The sequence below is a fragment of the Homo sapiens genome, chromosome 1 (genome assembly GCF_000001405.40).
Source record: "Homo sapiens chromosome 1, GRCh38.p14 Primary Assembly".
Classification (NCBI taxonomy): domain Eukaryota; kingdom Metazoa; phylum Chordata; class Mammalia; order Primates; family Hominidae; genus Homo; species Homo sapiens.
The window spans coordinates 246336047-246355789 of record NC_000001.11 but is presented as its reverse complement, the minus strand read 5'-3'; the positions used below and the strand labels follow the sequence as shown (position 1 = coordinate 246355789).

Sequence of the window (19743 nt, the reverse complement as noted above, 5' to 3'; positions counted from 1 at the left end):
TGCTGCGGCTGCTGTTGGGATGGGGATGTGGTTTTCAGTCTAATGGAGTTATGTTCCCAGGGTGATTATGGCTGCTTCTGCTGGGTCACACAGGCTGCCAGAGAAGTGGGGGAAAGCCAGCAGTCACAGGCCTCATCCCACTCCCACACAGCCCGCAGTCCTAAAGGCTGGTCTCACTCCCACCGTGCCCCCACAGCAGCACGGAGTCTGTTTCCAGGCAGCTGGTGACTGTGGCTGAGAACTTGCCCCAGACCGCCAGCCTCCCTGCTGAGCAAGCAGGCAGCTCACATCTTTTCAGAGTCTCAGGGAGCCTGCAGTGGCGATACAGTTCCTTCAGAGGGTCTGTGGATTCTCTTAGTTTACCTGGTATGTTGCTGTGGCAGTTGTTGGATCAAAAGTTCACAGTGTGAGTCCCCACACGCTGCTCTGTCTGTCCGATCGGGAGCTGCAAGCTGGTCCTGCCTCTTCCCCGCCATCTTCTGTCAGACAAAAGGACTTAGTTTTTCTATCAGTGTCTCACATGGAAGGTTCAAGAGGAGGCTCATCAGTGTGAAAATCCAAATCTTAAGGGACTGTACATAATGGAGTAAACAGAACATACGGGTGTCCGTATGTTGACTTATGTTTTCTTTCTTCAACTATGTACTATGTTTCCCACTCATTTCTTAATGCAGAATTAATTTTTTTCCCCACAGGAAGGAAAAGCTGATGCGATGCTCTCAGTGCCGCGTCGCCAAATACTGTAGTGCTAAGTGTCAGGTAAGACTTTTCAGCCATATATAAGTGAAGCTTTCAAATTCTTTACTCTTAAATTTGTCCTTCACTATACCTGTTGGCCTGTGTCTACTTCTTTACAGCCTTTAATTTACTTTTACTTGTTATTCACCTGCTGAGTCACACAGGTTGCCAGGGACATTAAAATGTTAAAACTGATGTTAAATATATATGGTTAAAAATTGGGTGTGTGTGTGTATATGTCTACTATGTGAAAGTAAATGTCTATTCCTCCCCATCTTATTGCCCCCCGACTTCAATTCTCATTTCCACAGGCAATCACTGTTAAGTTTCTCATGTGTCTTTGCAGCATTTGCTTGTGCAGACATATTTGTGTATCTACATCCTATGTTTAAAAAAAAAAAGATATAGTTTAATCTGGCATGAATTCTTGTGTACTTTTTTTTTTTCATTTAACGATCTACTTTGGGGAACATTTTGTATCCCATATGTTTCATTGTATGAATTGACCATAATAATAATTTCTTTGTTAATGAATGCTTGGCACTTTTCTAATATTTGGTATTGCCAATAATGCACTTCACATCCTGTTTTGCACATTTTGCACACTTCCCCAAATTATTAGTAGGATAAATTCTTATTGTATTGATTGTTGAAAGGATATATGCCTTTTGAATTTTTAAAGATAATGCCAAATATCCTGCCAAGAGTTTGAGTTAATTTACGAGTACTGTTGTTAACATCTTTGAAATTCTTGAAAGGATGTATAATTAACATTCAGCATGACCTTTTCTTCTAACCTTATGATTAATCATTTAATAAGAAATGTAATTATGTCCTAATGAGTTACATCTTATTAAAAGTCTAATTAGAGGTTTTGTGTCTATGTCACTTGCCTCCTCCCTGCCACCCTCCACTCATCCTTTTTGTTTCTTATGTTTTGTATATGCACACACACCTCCAGAGTTTCTTCTTTCCTTCTTTTAAATTTAGGCCATGCTTGTCTCAGGGGTTTTCTTCTCTCTCATTTTATCCTTTGAAAGTAATTTGAGACGACACAAAAAGTGGTCTTAATGGAAAAGAAATCAAAAGTTCAAAAATATCAGGGGTTCCAGGTTCTCATGCTAATTCTGGCATTTGCTGGTTAAATTATCTCAGGGAAAACACACACTGTGTGGGCCTCAGTTTCTGAATCTGTACTAACAATAAGAGTTAATATTTATTAGGCATCCACTGTGTGCCAGGCACTGTATTATTCCATTTGATTTTCCAAGAGTCTTGTGAGAATTAGGTACTATTATTATTTTTATTTTATTAATAAGGACAATGAGGACAGAGAGACAGCCAACTTGCCAAATATTCTGTAACTAGTAGGCTCTGAAGTTTCAGGAATGAAACCCAGGTATTCAGACTTTTAACTGCTCTTTTAAACCTAAATTCTGTTCTTGCTCTAACATTCTGATTAGGTCTAGTTTTCCATTATATATTGTATTATTCTTTTGTTTCTTGGCTTTTGGGTTTTTATTTGGGGACAGTCTTGCTTTGTCTCTTGGACTGGAGTGCAGTGGTGTTATCAAGTTCACTGCAGTCTTGAAATCCTGGGTTCAAGCGGTCTCCCTGCCTCTGCCTCCTGAGCCACTGGGACTACAGGTACGTGCCACCATGGCCAGGTAATTTAAAAAAAAATTTTAATGGAGACGAGATCTCACTGTTTGCCCAGGCTGATGTTAAACTCCTGAGCTCTAGTGATCCTCCTGCTTTGGCCTCCCAAAGTGCTGGGATTATAGGTGTCAGCCACTGTGCCCAGCCAGTATAACACTTTCTAATTAAAATAGGATAGGAAATTTCAAAACAATAATATTATTTCTACCTCATTTTTTAAACAAAAGTTTTGTCGAAGCTAGAAAGATCCCTGATTTATGTAAGATTGTTACCAACAAGAGTAACTAAAAGCAAAAAGTGAAACATTAATACTGCTTTTTATACAGTATTCGTTCCAGAAAGCTTGGTTTATGGTGATGTTCTAGGTGTTTTATTCACGTGAAGCTCAGCTATTTGTTTCTAGGAACTTCAGATTAAACAGAGTACATAGAGAAGCGACAGATTATCATATTATTTGACACAAGTCTAGGCAAACTTGCTTTCTAATCTCAATGACCTAAACAGTTTATTAATAAAACACTTAATAAACAGTTTACTTAATAAAACATTTTTTTCCCCTGTTTTGTGACTATTTTTCCTCTAGTGCCACATCATCCTTTTGTAGTACACTCAGGGAAGAGAAAAGCCATTATCTGATTAGAATGAGTAGCAGGAGTTTGGTGGGTGGGTATGTCATTTTGATTACCTGTAGTGCATGTGTTTTTACTACATATATTAGCTGTTTACTGTGGCATCAATAACAATGTCACTGTCAGATATACTGTGGAAGGTAACAGGAAAACAGCTAGCAAGATGAAGGATATATGTAATAACAGCTAGAGTATGTGTTTGTGTGTGTGGAGGGGGAGTTAAAGATTGGCCAGAACATATGCGTTTAAACTGCTGTGTTTATCTCAACCTTAAAATACAACATTAAACATTGTAATTATTGTGGATACCCACAAAACTACGCAAAATTAAATGACATACTGAACTGTGAACAGTGATGAACAGAACGCAAAAGCACTTGGAATGGAAATTGAAACAGAGGATGTAAATCTGTAGTATAAAATCCATAATATGTATACCCCAGGGGGACATGATTTTGGTTCACTAGCTTAGCATTTGATGTGTGGGACCATGGCATCAAGTTGTCTGAGAGAGGCTATTGGGGTATTGCAGGTGTAACATGTACCTTGTGCCCACAGGATGGTGTCAGTGCTATTGGTATTCACATTTCTTTCTTTATGTTTTTTTTTTTTTTTTTTTTTTTTTTTGAGACAGAGTCTTAGTCTGCTGCCCAGGCTGGGGTGCAGTGGTGCCGTCTCAGCTCCCTGCAACCTCCACCTCCCAGGTTCAAGCAATTCTTGGGCCTCAGCCTCCCCAGGTAGTTGGGACTACAGGCATGTGCCACCACGCCCAGCTAATTTTTTCTATTTTAGTAGAGGTGGGGTTTCATCATGTTGACCAGGCTGCTCTCAAGCTCCTGATCTCAGGCAGTCTGCCAGCCTTGGCCTCCCAAAGTGCTGGGATTATAGCCGTGAGCCACCGCATCTGGTGCACATTTCATTTTTAAACATAAGCAATACAAGGATATGTTTTTATTATAAAAACACCATATAGAATCATACAGGGTAAAACATAAAAGTCTTTCCCCAGCTTCCTTCCCCCGCTTCTACTTCTGTTTTTCAGAGATAATCCATATGTGTCTATTTTATGGATGGAGGATATACACCAAACTATTGGTTTATGCATCATATATAGCGTACACATCGACATATGTATTTACTCCTGTGTACAGTACTGTTTCTGTTACTGGTCAAAATATTTTTGTCATCACTGGCTTTATATTCTGGTCTATACCTTATTATCAGGTGTCTATCATATAATTTCATAGAAGGAGGTCCAGTCTTTTTTCTCTATTGCTATAAACAGAACATCACACATGATTATGAGATCAAAGAGGAGGAGCAGGCTAAAATTTCTTATAAAAAAGCATTTTCAAAACAAAAAATGGCAGCAGTGGTGATAGCAAGTAAGTCAATTTCAAGTAATTCACCAAGTATTATTTTACCTTTTGAGGATTTAATATGATTGATAATATATACATTTCTAGTTGAATGAATTAATTGCTGAGCAAAATAAGGAGTTAGGCACTCCATCAAATTGTAATTTATATACTTTTTAAAAGCACTGTATTAGCAGATACAAGCTCTATTTTATATTGATAATTATAGACCTCTTTAAAAATGTGAATCGTATTTTTGGGTTTACATTTTATGCTTAGTTGTGGAATGATTTGATTCATATTCGATGGGTAGAAAATTAATCCCACATTAGTAAGCACTTAACAGAGTGATTTAATAGGCTGGTTCTTAGACTACCATAACCAAAGCAGTGATAATGAAGGAAGTCAAGCTTTGTTTACTTCATAAATTCGGCCTGAAACTGATAGGCTTTGCACGGAATGTACTGTAGATAAGTCAGCTTTGTATCTAACTGTCAACACAAAGGGAGTACTACATGAAGTTTAAAACGATTTGGTCGTATTTCAGTTTTTGACCTCCACAGGTGTCTGGAGCCGGAAGTTTTTCTTTTCCCACTTTACCTTTGCCTGCTGTGTGATGTTATCTGCTCCTATGACTTCAAGTGGCATCTGTATATTAATCCTTCTCAAGACTCCGTCTCCAGCCTCCTTTCTCCTGATTTCCACTTGGCTGTTGCACAGGCGTCTCTGGTGTAACGTGTAAATCTGAGTACATTATCTTCCCCCAGACCCACTTCCCTTCATGTTTTCCAGCCTCAGTGAACAGTTTCACCAGCCACCCAGCAGTCTGAGTTGCCAGGTGTCATCTCCGATTCTCATCCTTTCTTGGCGACAGATCCATTTAGTCATCATGTCGTGCTGATTTTACTATTTTACTACCTAAAGATCTGAATTGGTTCCCTTCTCGTCAGCTTCTTTAGTACTACCTGTTACCATGGTCTCTTTTCTGGATTAGCTGCATTGTTAACTACGATTCTTTCCAACTTCTAATTTATTTTCTACACAGGAGTTAGAGTGATTATTATGCTCTAAGTCCTGGTGGTTGGTATGATAAGTAATAGGCAGTGAGCAAGTAAATAAGGTCCTGACTTTGATAAAGCTTCTGTTATGGAGTAGAGAGACAGTGACAAATGCCCATGATTATATGATTGAATGTGATTGGGGTGAGCACAAACTCACCTGTGAGTAGGTGGATACAGAAGGGTTTCCTGTAGAGGTGACATTTAACCTGAAATCTAGAATTAATGTAGCTCTTTCTGCTTTTCTTTTGATTAGTGTTAGCACGGTATATCTTTCTCCATCCATGTACATTTAATCTATTTATATGTAAAATGGGTTTCTTGTGGATGACATATGGTTGGGTTTTGTGTCTTGATCCACTGCGACCATTCCTGTCTTTTAATTGATGCATTTAGATCATTGATATTCAAAGTGATTATTGATATAGTTGGGTTAATATTTATCGTATCTGTTTTCTATTTGTTGCCCTTGTTATTTGTTCTGATTGTTGTCTTTCACTATTTTTTGCCTTTTGTGGTTTCAGTTGAGCCTTTTGTATGATTTCTTTTCTCTTCATTAGAACATCAGATATAGATATATCTCCTTTTTTAGTGATTGCCCCAGAGTTTGCAATATACATTTACGACGAATCCAAGTTTACTCTCAAATAACACTTTACCACTTTACAGGTAGAATGAGTACCTTAGAATAACAAAATACTTTTAATTCCTGCTCCCTCTCTTTAAAAAAAATTGTTTTAGAAATGGGATCTCTCTCTGTCACCCAGGCTGGAGTGCAGTGGCCTGAACACCCCTCACTGCAGACTTGACCTCCTCAGTTCAACTCATCCTCCTTCCTCAGCACCTCCTCAAATAGCTGGGACTACAGGCGTGCACTACCATGCCTGGCTACTTTTTGTATTTTGTGTGGGGATGGGATTTCACTATGTTGCCCAGGCTGGTCTCGAACTCCTAAGCTCAGGCAGTACACCTGCCTCAGCCTCCCAAAGTGCTGGGATTACAGGCCTGAGCCACTGTGCCCGGCCCCTGCTCCCTCTCTTATGTCATTTATTTAGCTTATACATAAACATACATAATTAAATACATTGATGCTATTAGCAGTCTTTTGAACAAACTATTATCTGTTAGATCAATTAAGAATAAGAAAAATGAAAGTTTTTATTTTACCTTCACCTATTCCTTCTTTGATTCTCATTCTTTCTTTATGTAGATCTAAGTTTCTAACCTTTATAATTTTCCTTCTCTCTACAGAATTTCTTTTAACATTTCATGCGGGTGGGTCTACTGGCAATACATTTCCTCAACTTTTGTTTTCCTGAAAAAGTCTTTATTTTCCCTTCACTTTTGAAGGGTAATTCCACAGGGTACAGAATTCTAGATTAGTAATTTTTTTTTCTCTCAGTACTTTATTTCATTCCACTCTCTTGTACATGGTTTCTGAGAAGTTGGCTATGATTCTTTGTTCCTCTATATGTAAGTTGTTTATTTTAGTCTGTTTTGTGCTGCTATAATAGAATAACTGACACTGAGTAATTTATAAAGAAAAAAATTTATTTTTATTGTTTCAAATTTATTTAATTTGTTTTCAACATTTATTTTAGATTCTGGGGGTACATGTGCGGGTTTTCTACAAAGGTATACTGTGTGATCCTGAGGTTTCGAGTATGATTGAACCTGTCACCCAAAAAGTAAGCATAGTACTCAAAAGGTAGTTTTTCAACCCTTGCACCTCCTCCTCCTTCCCCTTCCTTATATTCTCCAATGTCTGTTGTTCCCATATTTATACACTTGTGTACCCAATTTTAGCTCCCACTTGTAAGTGAGAACATACTGTATTTGATTTCCTGTTTCTGTGCTACTTTGCTTAGGATAATGGCCTCCAGCTGCATCCATTTTGTTGCAAAAGACATATATATATATATTTTTTTTTCCGAGACAGAGTCTTGCTCTGGCACCCAGGCTGGAGTGCAGTGGCACGATCTAGGCTCACTAAAACCTCTGCCTTCCACGCTCAAGTAATTCTCGTGCCTCAGCCTCCTGAGTAGCTGGGATTACAGGCACCTGCCACCATGTCTGGCTAATTTTTGTATTTTTAGTAGAGACAGGGTTTCACCATGTTGGCCAGGCTGGTCTCGAACTGCTGACCTCAGGCAATCCACCTGCCTTGGCCTCCCAAAGTGCTGGGATTACAGGCATGAGCCAATGCGCCCGGCCCAAGGGCATGATTTTATTCTTTTTTATGGCTTCATAGTATTTGATGGTGTGTGTGTATATATATATATATATAACGTTTTCTTTATTCAGTCCACCAATGATGGGCACCTAGATTGATTCCCTGTCTTTGCTATTGTGAACAGCGCAGGGAGAGACATATGGGTACATGTGTCTTTTTGGTAGAATGACTTATCTTCCTTTGGGTATATACCCAGTAATGGAATTGCTGGGTCACATGGTAGTTCAAGACTTAGTTCAAGTCTCCAAACTGTCTCCACAGTGGCTGAACTAATTTACATTCCCACCATCAGTGTATAAGTGAAGAGCGGAAATTTGTTGACTCACATTTCTGGAGGCCTGGAAGTTCTATATTAAGATGGCTATATGTAGTGAGGGCCTTCTTGCTGTGACATCACATGGTGGAAGGGCCAGGAGACAAGAGGGCATCAAATACTGGAATTAATCCTGCCCATGAGGACAGAGCCTTCATGGCTGAGTCACCTCTTAATGGTCCCACCTCTTAACACTGATATAATGGTAATTAAAGTTCAACATGAGTTTTGGAGGGTACAGACCTTCAAACCATTGCACACACCTTTCAAGTGTTTTGAGATTTTCAGAAAATGACATATTACTGAAACCATTTCAGTATCTATAAACACCTAAAACAGACATATACTTATCTTTAGCTATAAAAATCTGGCTTCTCTCAGTATTTTAAAAAACTTTTGATTTTCTGTAGTTTGAAAATGACATGCCTAAGTATAGATTTTTGGACTTTTATCCTTCTTGGTGTTCTCTGAGTTTCCTGGATCTGTGGTTTGGTGCCTGGCATTAATCTGGGAGAACTTCTCAGTCATTATTACTTCAAGTATTTCTTCTGTTCCATTCTCTCTTTATTCTTCTTCTGACATATCCTATTACACATATCTTATACCTTTATATAATCATTCCACAGTTCTTGGATATTCTGTTTTTTTTTTATAAAGTCTTTTTTTGTCTTTGCTTCTTAATGTTGGTGGTTACCATATTGAGATAATTTCAGCTCAGAGATTCTTCTCTCCAGCTACGTCCAGTCTGCCAATAAGATATCAAAGGCATTCTTTATTTTTGTTGGTGTTTTTGATCTAGCAGTTCTTCTTGGTTTTTAGAATTTCTGTTTCTATGCCTATATCCCCTGTCTGTTCTTGCATGCTGTCTCCTTTTCCACTGGAATCCTTAGCATATTAATTATAGTTTTTTAAAATTCCTAGTCTGATAATTCCAACATCCTTGCCATATCTGAGTCTGGTACTAATGCTCGCTCTGTCTCTTCAAACTATGTTTTTTTGCCTTTTAGTATGTGACATAGTTTGGTTGTGTCCCCACCCAGATCTCCTCTTGAATTGTGGTTCCCATAATCCCCATGTGTCGCGGTAGGGACCAGGACCAGGTGGAGATAATTGAATCGTGGGGGCAGTATCCCCCATCCTGTTCTCTTGATAGTGAGTTAGTTCTCACAAGATTGGATGGTTTTATAAGGGGCTTCCTGCTTTGCTGGGCACTTCTCCATCCTGCTGCCATATGAAGAAGGATGTGTTTGCTTCCCCTTCCACTACGATTATAAGTTTCCTCCACAGCCCTGTGGAACTGTGAGTCAATTAAACGTCTTCCTTTATAAATTACCCAGTATTGAGTATTTTTTCATAGCAGCATAAGAATGTACTAATACAGTATGTCTTATAGTTTTTTCTTGATAGCTAGACGTGATGTAAAAGGAACCACTGTAAATAGGCCTTTAGTAGTGTGATGGCAAGATGTAAGAGGAGAGGAACTGTTCTGTAGTTCTTTTTTAGTTTGTTTGTTTTTTTTGAGACAGAGTCTCACTCTGTCGCCCAGACTGGAGTGCAGTAGAACGTCTCGGCTCACTGCAAGCTCCGCCTCCCGGATTCACGCCATTCTCCTGCCTCAGCCTCCCGAGGAGCTGGGACTACAGGTGCCCGCCACCACGCCCGGCTAATTTTTTGTATTTTTAGTAGAGATGGGGTGTTACCGTGTTAGCCAGGATGGTCTCGATCTCCTGACCTCTTGATCCACCCCCCTTGGCCTCCCACAGTGCTGGGATTACAGGCGTGAGCCACTGTGCCCGGCCAGTTCTATAGTTCTATGATTAGGTCTTGGGTTTTTGGTGAGCCTTTGTCCCTGGACTGTGGCATTCATAGGTGTTTCTCAGTTTAGGATTGGCTAGTTTGAGTAATATCAGGGGATCCTGGGGTTTAAGGGTGGTCTCTGTTTGCCTGGTACCTGGCCCTGGGATGATTAAGGCAGAAGAATATTGCCTCTTAGGGTGTTAGGGCCAGACAGAGGATGTATGGCTGTGGATCATTTAGTTTGCCTATCAAAGGCATGCTCAGGATTGAGCTTTTTGCTATTTCTTAGAATTGGCTGTCCCTGGGAGGAGCAGGAGCAGTCTTCTCCTTAGTCAGAAAGGTTTTTAAAATGTCAACACATCATAATACAAGTTGAGCATCCCAAATCAAAAAATCTGCAGCGCTCCAAAATCCAAAACATTTTAAGCACCAGCATGATACCCAAAGGAAATGCTCATTGGAGTATTTTGGATTTTGGATTTTTAGGTTTGGGATGGTTCAGCCAGTAAGTATAACGCAAACATTTCAAAATCCAAAGAAATCCAAAACCTGAAGCACTTCTGGTCCCAGGTATTTCAAATAAGGCATACTCAACCTGTATTCAGAAATAAAAATATAAAAACTATAGCCCTACACATATATGGCCAGTTGATTTTCAACAAAGGTGCCAACATAATTCAATAATGAAAGGATGATCTTTTCAAAAAATTGTGCTAATATGCACATGGAAAATAAATGATAAAAGTAAAAACAATTCTTCACTAGATTTAATAAGATTTAGGTTCAATAAGCTTAAACTTAAAGGCTAAAACTATAAAACCGAGAAAACATAGGAGAAACTCTTTGGATATGGGGTACATAAAATTTCCTATGTAGAACACAGAAAGCACTAAGCCTCCAAGAAAAATTGATAAATTGATTTTCATCAAAATTAAACCCTTCAGCTCCTTGGAAAGACAAACTACAGACATGGAGAAAATATTTGAGACCTCTCTTTCCCCCTGTTTCCCTCCTTTTCTCTTTCTCTCCCTCCTTCTCTCTCTCTCACCCCAACCAAGAAGTTGTTTCCAGAATTTATAAAGAATACTTATAATTCAGTAGTAAGAAAACTGAGTAAAACAGGTAAAAGATTTGAATAGATACTTTAAGAAGATATACATTAAAAGATAATCATTGTCACTGGTCACCAGATAAATGAAAATTAAAACCATAATGAGATATTACTACACACCCACTAGAAAGACTAAAATTAAAAGGACTGACTTTGTCAAGTGCTGGCAAGGTGATGGAGCAACTGGAACTCTTGTTCACTGGTGGTGAGAAAGTAAAGCGTTATCATTGTTTTGGGAAAGTTTAGTAGTTTGTAATAATGTTAAAGGTGTACTTACTGTATGACCCAGCAGTTCTGCTCCTAGTTATTTACCTAAGAGTTATGAAAACTTACATCTACAAAAACAACTTGTACATAAATGTTCAATGTTCCAAACCTGGAAACAAGTGAAATATTCATCCACAGGTAAATGAATAAAGAGATGCATACTGTACTATTACTTGTCCATTAAGAGGAACAAACTACTGATGCATGCCGCAACGTTAGTGAATCTCAAAACACTGTACTGAGGGAATGAAGCCAGATGAAAAGAAGTAAGACTGTTCTAGGCTAGACAAAACTGATCTTACAATTATAGAGACAAAACCACTGAGTTGCCTGGGATGGAGGACTTGAATGTAAGGGGCACAAGGGAACTTTTGGGGAGTACTAACATCTGTAGCTTAATTTTGGTGTTGGTTATATGGAGATATATGTGTCATAACTTATCAAAGCTGGGTGTGGTGGCACGTGCATGTAATCCCAGCACTTTGGGAGGCTAAGGTGGGAGGATTGTTTGAACTCATGAGTTAGAGACCAGCCTGGACAATATAGCAAGACCCCATCTCAAAAAAACAAAAATTTATCAAACTATACTGTTAAAATGGATACATTTTATTATACGTAACTGTGGTTTTTGCCATTAAAAGTAATTACTTTTGCACCAACCTAAATATAATTTAATAATGTAAATTATATTTCAAGTAAGTAGTTTGAAACATATTGGTCACCACAGAGCTATTAAGTATGCATAGATTTTATTTCTTTTTCTGTAATACAGTGATCACAATTTTTAAGCCACTCAAAGAATTAGACTATTGTTTGAAGAAGCCGTTGTAGAAGGGTAAGAGTCAGGGCAGGAAGACCAAATAGGAGGCTATAGCAATAATCTGGATCAGAGATAATCTTAGCATCAAATTCAACAAGATTCTGTACATTAACCTTCCATTGCTTACTCAATCAAGCCAAAAGTAGAGAAGGGGTGTTTTGAGACTCTTTGGCATACAGACTTGTGGTTAATTTTCTCTTTCTCATCTATTTTTCAATTCCATTCTACCAATGTATAGTCTTTGATTCTAGATCCTTTCTGGAATTCTGCTTGGCAGGCTGACCTTCCCTCTCAGATGGGACTGTCCCTACATGTGGCCTCTTTGACCCTGCTTCTGCAGCCTGTCCTCTTACCACCACTTTTTCACTCTCAAATGGGGCTAACCACATCCTTCCCTGCCACTCATCCATTGATGGCTGTTCCAGTTCACTTTGGGAGTAAAAAATTTGATAATTACTTGTTTTGAGGAAATAAAATACATGTGCTCACCTACCGTATTCAGCTAGAAGCTGGTGTTGATATTTTGATTAATCTAGGATAGATGCTTTTTCCAAATAAGATTGGAAGTCTGTGGAAGTGCATGATTTATTTTGCTTTCCAGCCAAACTATCAATTAAGTCATTTCGTCTTCATATGATCTCTCATTAGATCAAGCATTGGCTAATTTCTGTAAAGAACTATATAGTAAATATTTTAGGCTTTGTGGCCATATGATTTTTGTCGTATGTGTTCAACTCTGATGTAGCATGAAATGAATGAATGTAACTAATAAGTGTGGCTCTATCCCTGTAATGTACAATTTTACTAAAAATGTAGCACGAATTAGAACGTACATGAATTTGAATTTTACATAAATGTAAAAATGTAAAATGAATTTTACCTATGAGCCATATATTTTTGGAACCCTGCAGTAGATGATGATTGACTTACTTTGGGGGCACTGTTGTTATTATTGTCTCATATTATAGGTTCCTCACTTAACAGGAGACCGTAATTCCCATTTGCCCAAGAAATGGTCATTTATTCACGTTCTTTTTTTCCTCTTGTCAACCTTATGCCCTAAGACCATTTTCATGGCACATTCCTTCTTTATATTTAGCTCTATTCATCTAATTTGATTAAGACTAGTGAGAAGATGCTCTTGCTCTACATTTGATACAGCATTCAGTAAGCTTTTAAAGTGAGAAGTCTCATATCTATCACTAATCTCTAGTGTGCTCTAAAGAGATTTTTTTGCAAGATCTTAATCAATACCTGTCAGTCAACTGTAGCTGTTAGACAACCTGCTTAGCCTTCCAGTTTTCTTTTCCCAGATTCCAGCTTTTCAGATCTGCCTGCATCTGACAATCTGTAATTCAATATTGGACTACATTTCAAGGATAAAGGAGGAGGCATTATTTATTTGCTATCAAGCAAACTGGATGTAAATGGAAAACTGTCGAGTATCTTTTATTTCCTGCAAGTTGCGTGGCAGCTCAACTATCCTAAGTTTTGCCCATAGGAAACCTCTGTAGATGATTGTTTGTGAGTGGAGTAAGTCCTGAATATGTAGGAAAAAAATCACTGTGATATTTCACGTAGAAGATGTTTAGTTAATATTATATGAAACTGTTGAATAAGTGGGCTCAAAAAATTCATTTTCTTTTCTATATTTTTAAAGACAGCTTCTTCATCCTTAATGACCAAATAGCTGAGGAAAATACTGTTGCAAATTTTCAATGATTGTAAGCCTAACCCAAGCAGGTTTCAAACCTATTTTGACATAATTCAGATATTTGTTAGGAATGGATGTTACAGACTCAGAATTTTATCATTGGAAGACTGCCTTGCAGATCTTTGAATCTAATCTTCTTATGGAATAAATACCTAGTGAGCTGATGTCATGAATTGGATGTATTTTACCCAATCCAAGGTTCAATACAGGATGACCCTTCTTACACTCTATCCCAAACAATAATGAGCTACCCTAAAATGGATATCCACTCCAACCAAAACTTGGTGTTTAACAGCATTTAAATGGGTTCTTGAGTGAGCAATAGGGACTTTGTATGTAAAGAGGAGAGGGAAATATGATAATAGTGCAAATGTTATTTTGCGTAAGAAAGAAATAAATTGATTTTCTCTTATTAGTGTAACATCTCATCAATACACTCCTTTCATAATCATGTAATCAAGACCATCTCTTATTGGTCAAAGAAAGAATTGTGAGAGTCTACTTTCATTTCTTCTTTTTGTATGGCCTTAATTTCAAATAATGATAATATATAGTAAATTTTACCCCCTGAATGGTACTGGTTTTAGAATAAATCATAAAATATGTATTGAACACCTGTTTCATGCAAGGTGTACTTAATTGGTACTATACTCATTTAAGAAAAACAGACATGAATATAGCCAAACTAATAAAAGAATTTACTGAGTGAATCTCTGAATTAAAAAAGATTGCATCAGCATTACAGAACAGTTCACTGAAGCATTTTTTAACATTTAAAAATTAACACATTTAAATCATGCTTTGAGTTGCAACTAGATTTCCAAAATAAACATTAAAAAGTTAAGAAGCACCAGTGCCTATTAAACAGTAATTTTGCTGTCCCTTTCGTATAAAAGTACTTCTCCCTGATTCTCAGTTACTACACATAAAATTATATTTGTTTTTATTCATAAACTCCATGCTCTTTGTAGAAAATTTAAATAGTAATGGAAAGCTATAAAGAGAAAGACAAAAATAGCAATTTCTTTTAGGAAAAGCTGGAAAAGTTAACTTTCAGTATTTTAATCATCTTCTATTGTGAGCATTCTTTTTTTTTTCCCCCTGAGACCTGGGGTCTCACTCTGTCACACAGACTGGAATGCAGTGGTGTGACCATGGCTCACTGTAGTCTCGACCTCCCATCTTAGCCTCCAGCATAGCTGGGAGTGATCCTCTCCTCTTAGCCTCTGGTGTGGCTGGGAATACAGGTGCATGCCATCATGTCTGGCTAACTAAAAAAAATTTTTTTTTATAGAGATGGGATTTCCCTATGTTGCTTAGGGTGGAACATTCTTAAATTTATTTCTTTATACTATTTAAATTTTTTAAAATAAATTACTTTATGAATAATATTTCTGTGTCAACAATATGCACATTACAATTTTGATATTCATTACCAAATACCCATCAGAAAGATCAGAGCAGCCTACAACTCTACTAACAAGGCTGGAAAATGCCTATTTCCCCAAATCCTAGATGCTTCTAAATACTGCCAGTTTTATTCATTTTTGCCAAATTAATGGGACACTATGTTATCTAGTTTCTGTTATCATGTCTTTGAGCACTGGTGTGGTTTGTATTAGTTGTCTATTGGTTTTTCTTTTTCAGTCATGAATTTCCTATTCATTTCCTTTACCTTTATTTATATTTTTTGAAATATTCAAAAGTTATTTGTAAGGCCTTTTTGTATATTGGAGACATTTAACACTGTGTCTATATATGTATTTTAGACTGTTTCATGGTTTATTACCTTTAAACCTTGTTTCTGGTTTTCTTCCCCCAAGACAAAAATTCTTTATTGTTATGTAATTGAATATATATTTATTTTCCTTTATGGTTTTTACATTTTATGTTCTGTTTAAAACACTTTTTCCACCTTAATATTATACAATATTTATTTCTATAGAACAATAGTTCAATGATAATTATAGAATTGTATTTTGTTTCATCTATTTAGTATATATAACGACCTCCTTTGTAATTTAGTTTAACTCAGTGGTTTTTCAACTTTAGCTACTCATGGAATGCCCTTGTCTTGATCTGTTTTTGTGCTGCTATTAACAGAGTGCCGCAGACTGGGTCATTCATAAACAATAGAAGTTTATTTGGCTGGTGTTTCTGGAGGCCGGGAAGTCCAAGGTTGAGGGATTACATCTGTAAGGGCCTTCTTGCTGCATCCTAGCATGGCAGAAGGCGTCACATGACGGGAGCGTGCTCCTGAGAGGGAACAAGAGAGGGCCGGACTCTCTTTTATAGCAAACCCACTGTTGCAATAGTGACATGAATCCGTTCGTGAGCGCTGTGCTACTGAACGACCCCACCTCTCAACATGTTGCACTGGGGATTACGTTTCCAGCACATGAACTTTGAGGTACACATTGAAACCATAGCAGCCCTGCAGTGGGATGCTTGATTCTGTCTCATGGGTAGTGTCAGAATCCCTAGGGTGGGTGTTAGGCTATGTGTTTAAAAATATATTCTTGTGTATGTGTGTGGCATGTGTAACTGTGTAGCATTTTTTTAGATCTGGGCTTCTCAGTTCTTTTCAGACCCAACTCCCCATTTTTGTGAGAACTATTTTTATTGCCCTCTCTACTATCTTGAAATGAAATTTTACAGGTAGTGCAATATACCTAGTTACATATTTTCAAAACATTAATATAATGCCATAATTGGAATATAAGGAAAAAGAAAATTAAAACCTATGATAAAATAATATGTATTTTAGTATATAAATGCTGAGGTATTAGACTGGAAGACATCATTAGTCACATATTTGCACCTATACATAGAGTCACTGTGAGAAGGGAAGTAGAGATGCGGGTCAGAAGCCGTGTTGTATTGGTAACTCAAGTACTCTAAGTGGTGTTGCCTTCAGTGATATGGCTTTAATTGAGTAATTTAGGTAAAATTCTTAAAATACAGTCTTCCTTTGATTTACCTAGAAAATTCAGTGCTGTTAGGATTATGTAAAAACGAGCTCTTTGTTTTTAAATGTAAAAGGAGATTTAGTTCTAGGCTCAGACAATTATAAACAAGTTTTCCACCGTCATGGAATTTGGTTGGACACTTGAAAGTTGCATTGGATTTGGATAATTCTTCATTGTGGAGAACTGTCCGACACAGAATGTCTGGCTCCTTTGGTTCCTGCTCATTAAGTGCCTGTAATTTTCCATAAACCTTGTGACAAATAAAAATACCCGCATAAATTTCTCAAACAACCCTCAAGATAGGCGTCACTCCCATTGAGAACTACTGGTGTGGTTAATGAGTTTATGTCGTGAACTGTTATAAATACTATAAAAATACATTATGAAACTGTATAGATTCTGAAGTTGTTTTTTGAGTCATGCATGCACTGAAAGAATTGTGTTATAGATGTCATTTCCTTTTTTTCCAGCATGAAACTCTTGTCTCCTTTTGTTTTTACTTCTTAATGTAGTATTTTAATTTCCTTTGTCTCTCAAGCCAGTTCATGCTTATTGTACATCATTGTTAATTTTCAGCTATGACAAAAGAAAATACTACAGCCAATGTTATGAGCAAAATCTTAATTATATCCTGTATTGGAAGTAATGTAAGAAAATAGGAAAAAATGTAAATCAGGAAGGTTGTCTTTTGAGAAATTGGCAAATATATATGACAAATGTGTCATCGAGGTCTTGACCAAGGTTAGTTTGTTGAGTGAAGATAATGCCTTTTGTTTTTGTATGATTGTCACGTTTTGCTTCAAAGTCAAAGGAGCTGCGTAAAAAGATTTCTTTGTAAGCCTTTTCTATGGTATGCTTGTATTCGTAACCCTTATGGTAAGATGTGATAGGTGAAGCTGAATGATAAATTTTAACAGTTAATGTTTTAAAAAGAAAAGGAATGGGCTGATATGTGGTACCATATTACAGACCAATTTTAAGTGGTATGATTGCTTTCTCTATTTATGCCTAAATGATCTGATTTGGCTTTTCATGGAAATAATGAACATATTTTTGCTGAAGCAAATGAGAAAATAAGTATGTTTTCAGGCAATGATCTAGGAATAAGTTTAAGAAACATTTTGTCTAGTTTCTAGTTATTGTTGAGAAAAGGAGCTCTATATCAATTATGTTAAGGACCTAAAGTTGTTTTAACAGGAATTTTCCAAAATTTGGATGTTTAATTCCAAATGCTGTCATCTAACTGATCGGTTGTTCATTATCTGGTGTACGTTTTGTACTTATCTCACCCTGGTAAGCTATCAGGAGGCTGAGCTGCTCAAATATTTAGGTTTTAACAGAGGGGTTATGGATGATCTCTTGTAATTAAAATGAGCATTGATTAAAATCTGCTCTTAAGGTCTTTTGCCTCAAATTATCTCTGCCTTGTTTTGCTGAGTGTGAGCCCTGTTCAGCTGGACACTGAGGCATTTGAACAGAGCCTAAGGTACTTTCTGATAGACCCACTGGCACTATGTTATCCGTTCCTGCCTACACGCTCTGTCCATGAGAGCATCTGACAGGTTTCTCAACTTCTATAATCAAAGGAAAACTAACGCCAAAGTTATGGTTCTCCCTTCTATCAGTAAAAAACCAAAAAAGTTAACATTCTTGTTTCTTGTGAGTGCAAATGAATGTAAATTTGTTAGCTTAACCCACTCACATACAAAGACCAGGTGAAAAAAAATATATAGATATATCTGAGTTAGTGAATACCAACCTAACTCTCTAAAGGGTGACAATAACAAGCATGGGAAACTGTGTTAAATAATTTATACACATTTCTTTAGTGCATAGACTTTTAGAACTTTTAGGATGCTAAGTATATTTTGAATCTCTAAGTAGGGTCAACATGATATTGTGTTTTTAAAACTTACTTGACAATTGTACCATGTATATTTTAGGCCTCTTACACACATTGGTAATTGCTAATTGCTAGTCAAGGACTAGCCCCCTGAGCAACAGAAGCTTGTTCTTTCACTGAGTTGTATTTTAATATTATGCCTTTCAGTGAGTACTGATATTAGAAGTCATATGAAAGGCCATTATAGTTGTGAACTGTTGTTAAGGACATTGTTCAGTGTGTTGATTAGCATTCTTGGAATAAATCCCTCCTGTGATTTAATACTTGGTGAAACTGTATGTTTTTACTTTCTGTCAGTTGAGGATTATATAAGCCATTATGCCTTCTTTTTTGCCTTGCTTGTAAGGCATCTCAAATAAATGTGACGTACAAATACTCAAATGTAATGCAGAAATTATTCAGCTCTCATGTTTAGCATGCTAAGAATTTTTACTCTCTCTTTTTGTATTTGGGCAGTTTGATAGTTAGATATCAGCTTTTGAGCCTTTATTTGTAATAGAGGGATAATACCTACCATTTGGATTGTTACGAAAATCAAGTGAAACGTGCTTCGTTATTTGCTTAGCCATGTATCTAGTACCTTGTAGAATGCTAAGTAAATGCTAGCGTGCTTTCCTTTTTCCCCCTTCCATAATTTTAATATGTTCTGTTTCTGGTTTTGCAGTCTTATTTCATACACATCTTTACTTTGAATCAGCTCAGTCTTGTTTAGAAGTGAGTGAAGTGTAAATGCTAAAACAAAAATTATGAACAGCACATTGATTTTGTAGACCCAGAAATTGAGGAGCAGATTTATAATTTTTGAAATAAGAATGAGTAAGTGGTATCAGGCATTTCAGTAATGGAAATTCCAATTTTCAGAATATAACACGAGAGACATTTGATTGAGGCTTCTTCTACTCACCAGGGCTAAATATTAGATGATCTGGATTTTATTTCCATATGAAAGTGATTCCGTGTGAAAGGAGCCGTCGCCTTTCTGATCCAAGGCTCAAGGATAGTGTCCTTCCCTTTAGTCCATTCATCTGTACATTGGCAACTGACTCAATGGTCTCTTTAGCCACATCAACACATGGCTAGGATCATGGCTTAGGTGACCATATAATTTGTCATCAAAACCAGAACTTTTCAGAGTGAAAAGGGGCACTATTAATATTTAAGCCAGGACATAGAT

General features: G+C 37.1%; 1 protein-coding gene across 8 annotated transcripts in view, besides 1 other annotated feature; it reads left to right on the top strand.

The window, feature by feature from the left end:
• SMYD3 (SET and MYND domain containing 3) overlaps window positions 1-19743 on the top strand; it is a 757933-nt gene that overhangs the window by 151490 nt on the left and 586700 nt on the right. For 7 of the 8 annotated variants that reach the window (NM_001375962.1, NM_001167740.2, XM_047428020.1 and 4 more), the window contains one exon: window positions 696-759. In NM_001375962.1, coding sequence (NP_001362891.1) covers window positions 696-759 — 64 coding nt within the window. Of the gene's footprint in view, window positions 1-249; window positions 367-695; window positions 760-19743 lie in introns of those variants that run through there. The other variant, NM_001375963.1, reaches the window with a different exon arrangement.
• Window positions 136-761: an enhancer, noted in NCBI's record as "H3K27ac-H3K4me1 hESC enhancer chr1:246518331-246518956 (GRCh37/hg19 assembly coordinates)". NCBI's record gives its function as "activates a minimal SCP1, AML or CMV promoter by ChIP-STARR-seq in naive H9 embryonic stem cells {active_cell/tissue: H9 hESC(naive)}" and the evidence as "EXISTENCE:reporter gene assay evidence [ECO:0000049][PMID:30033119]".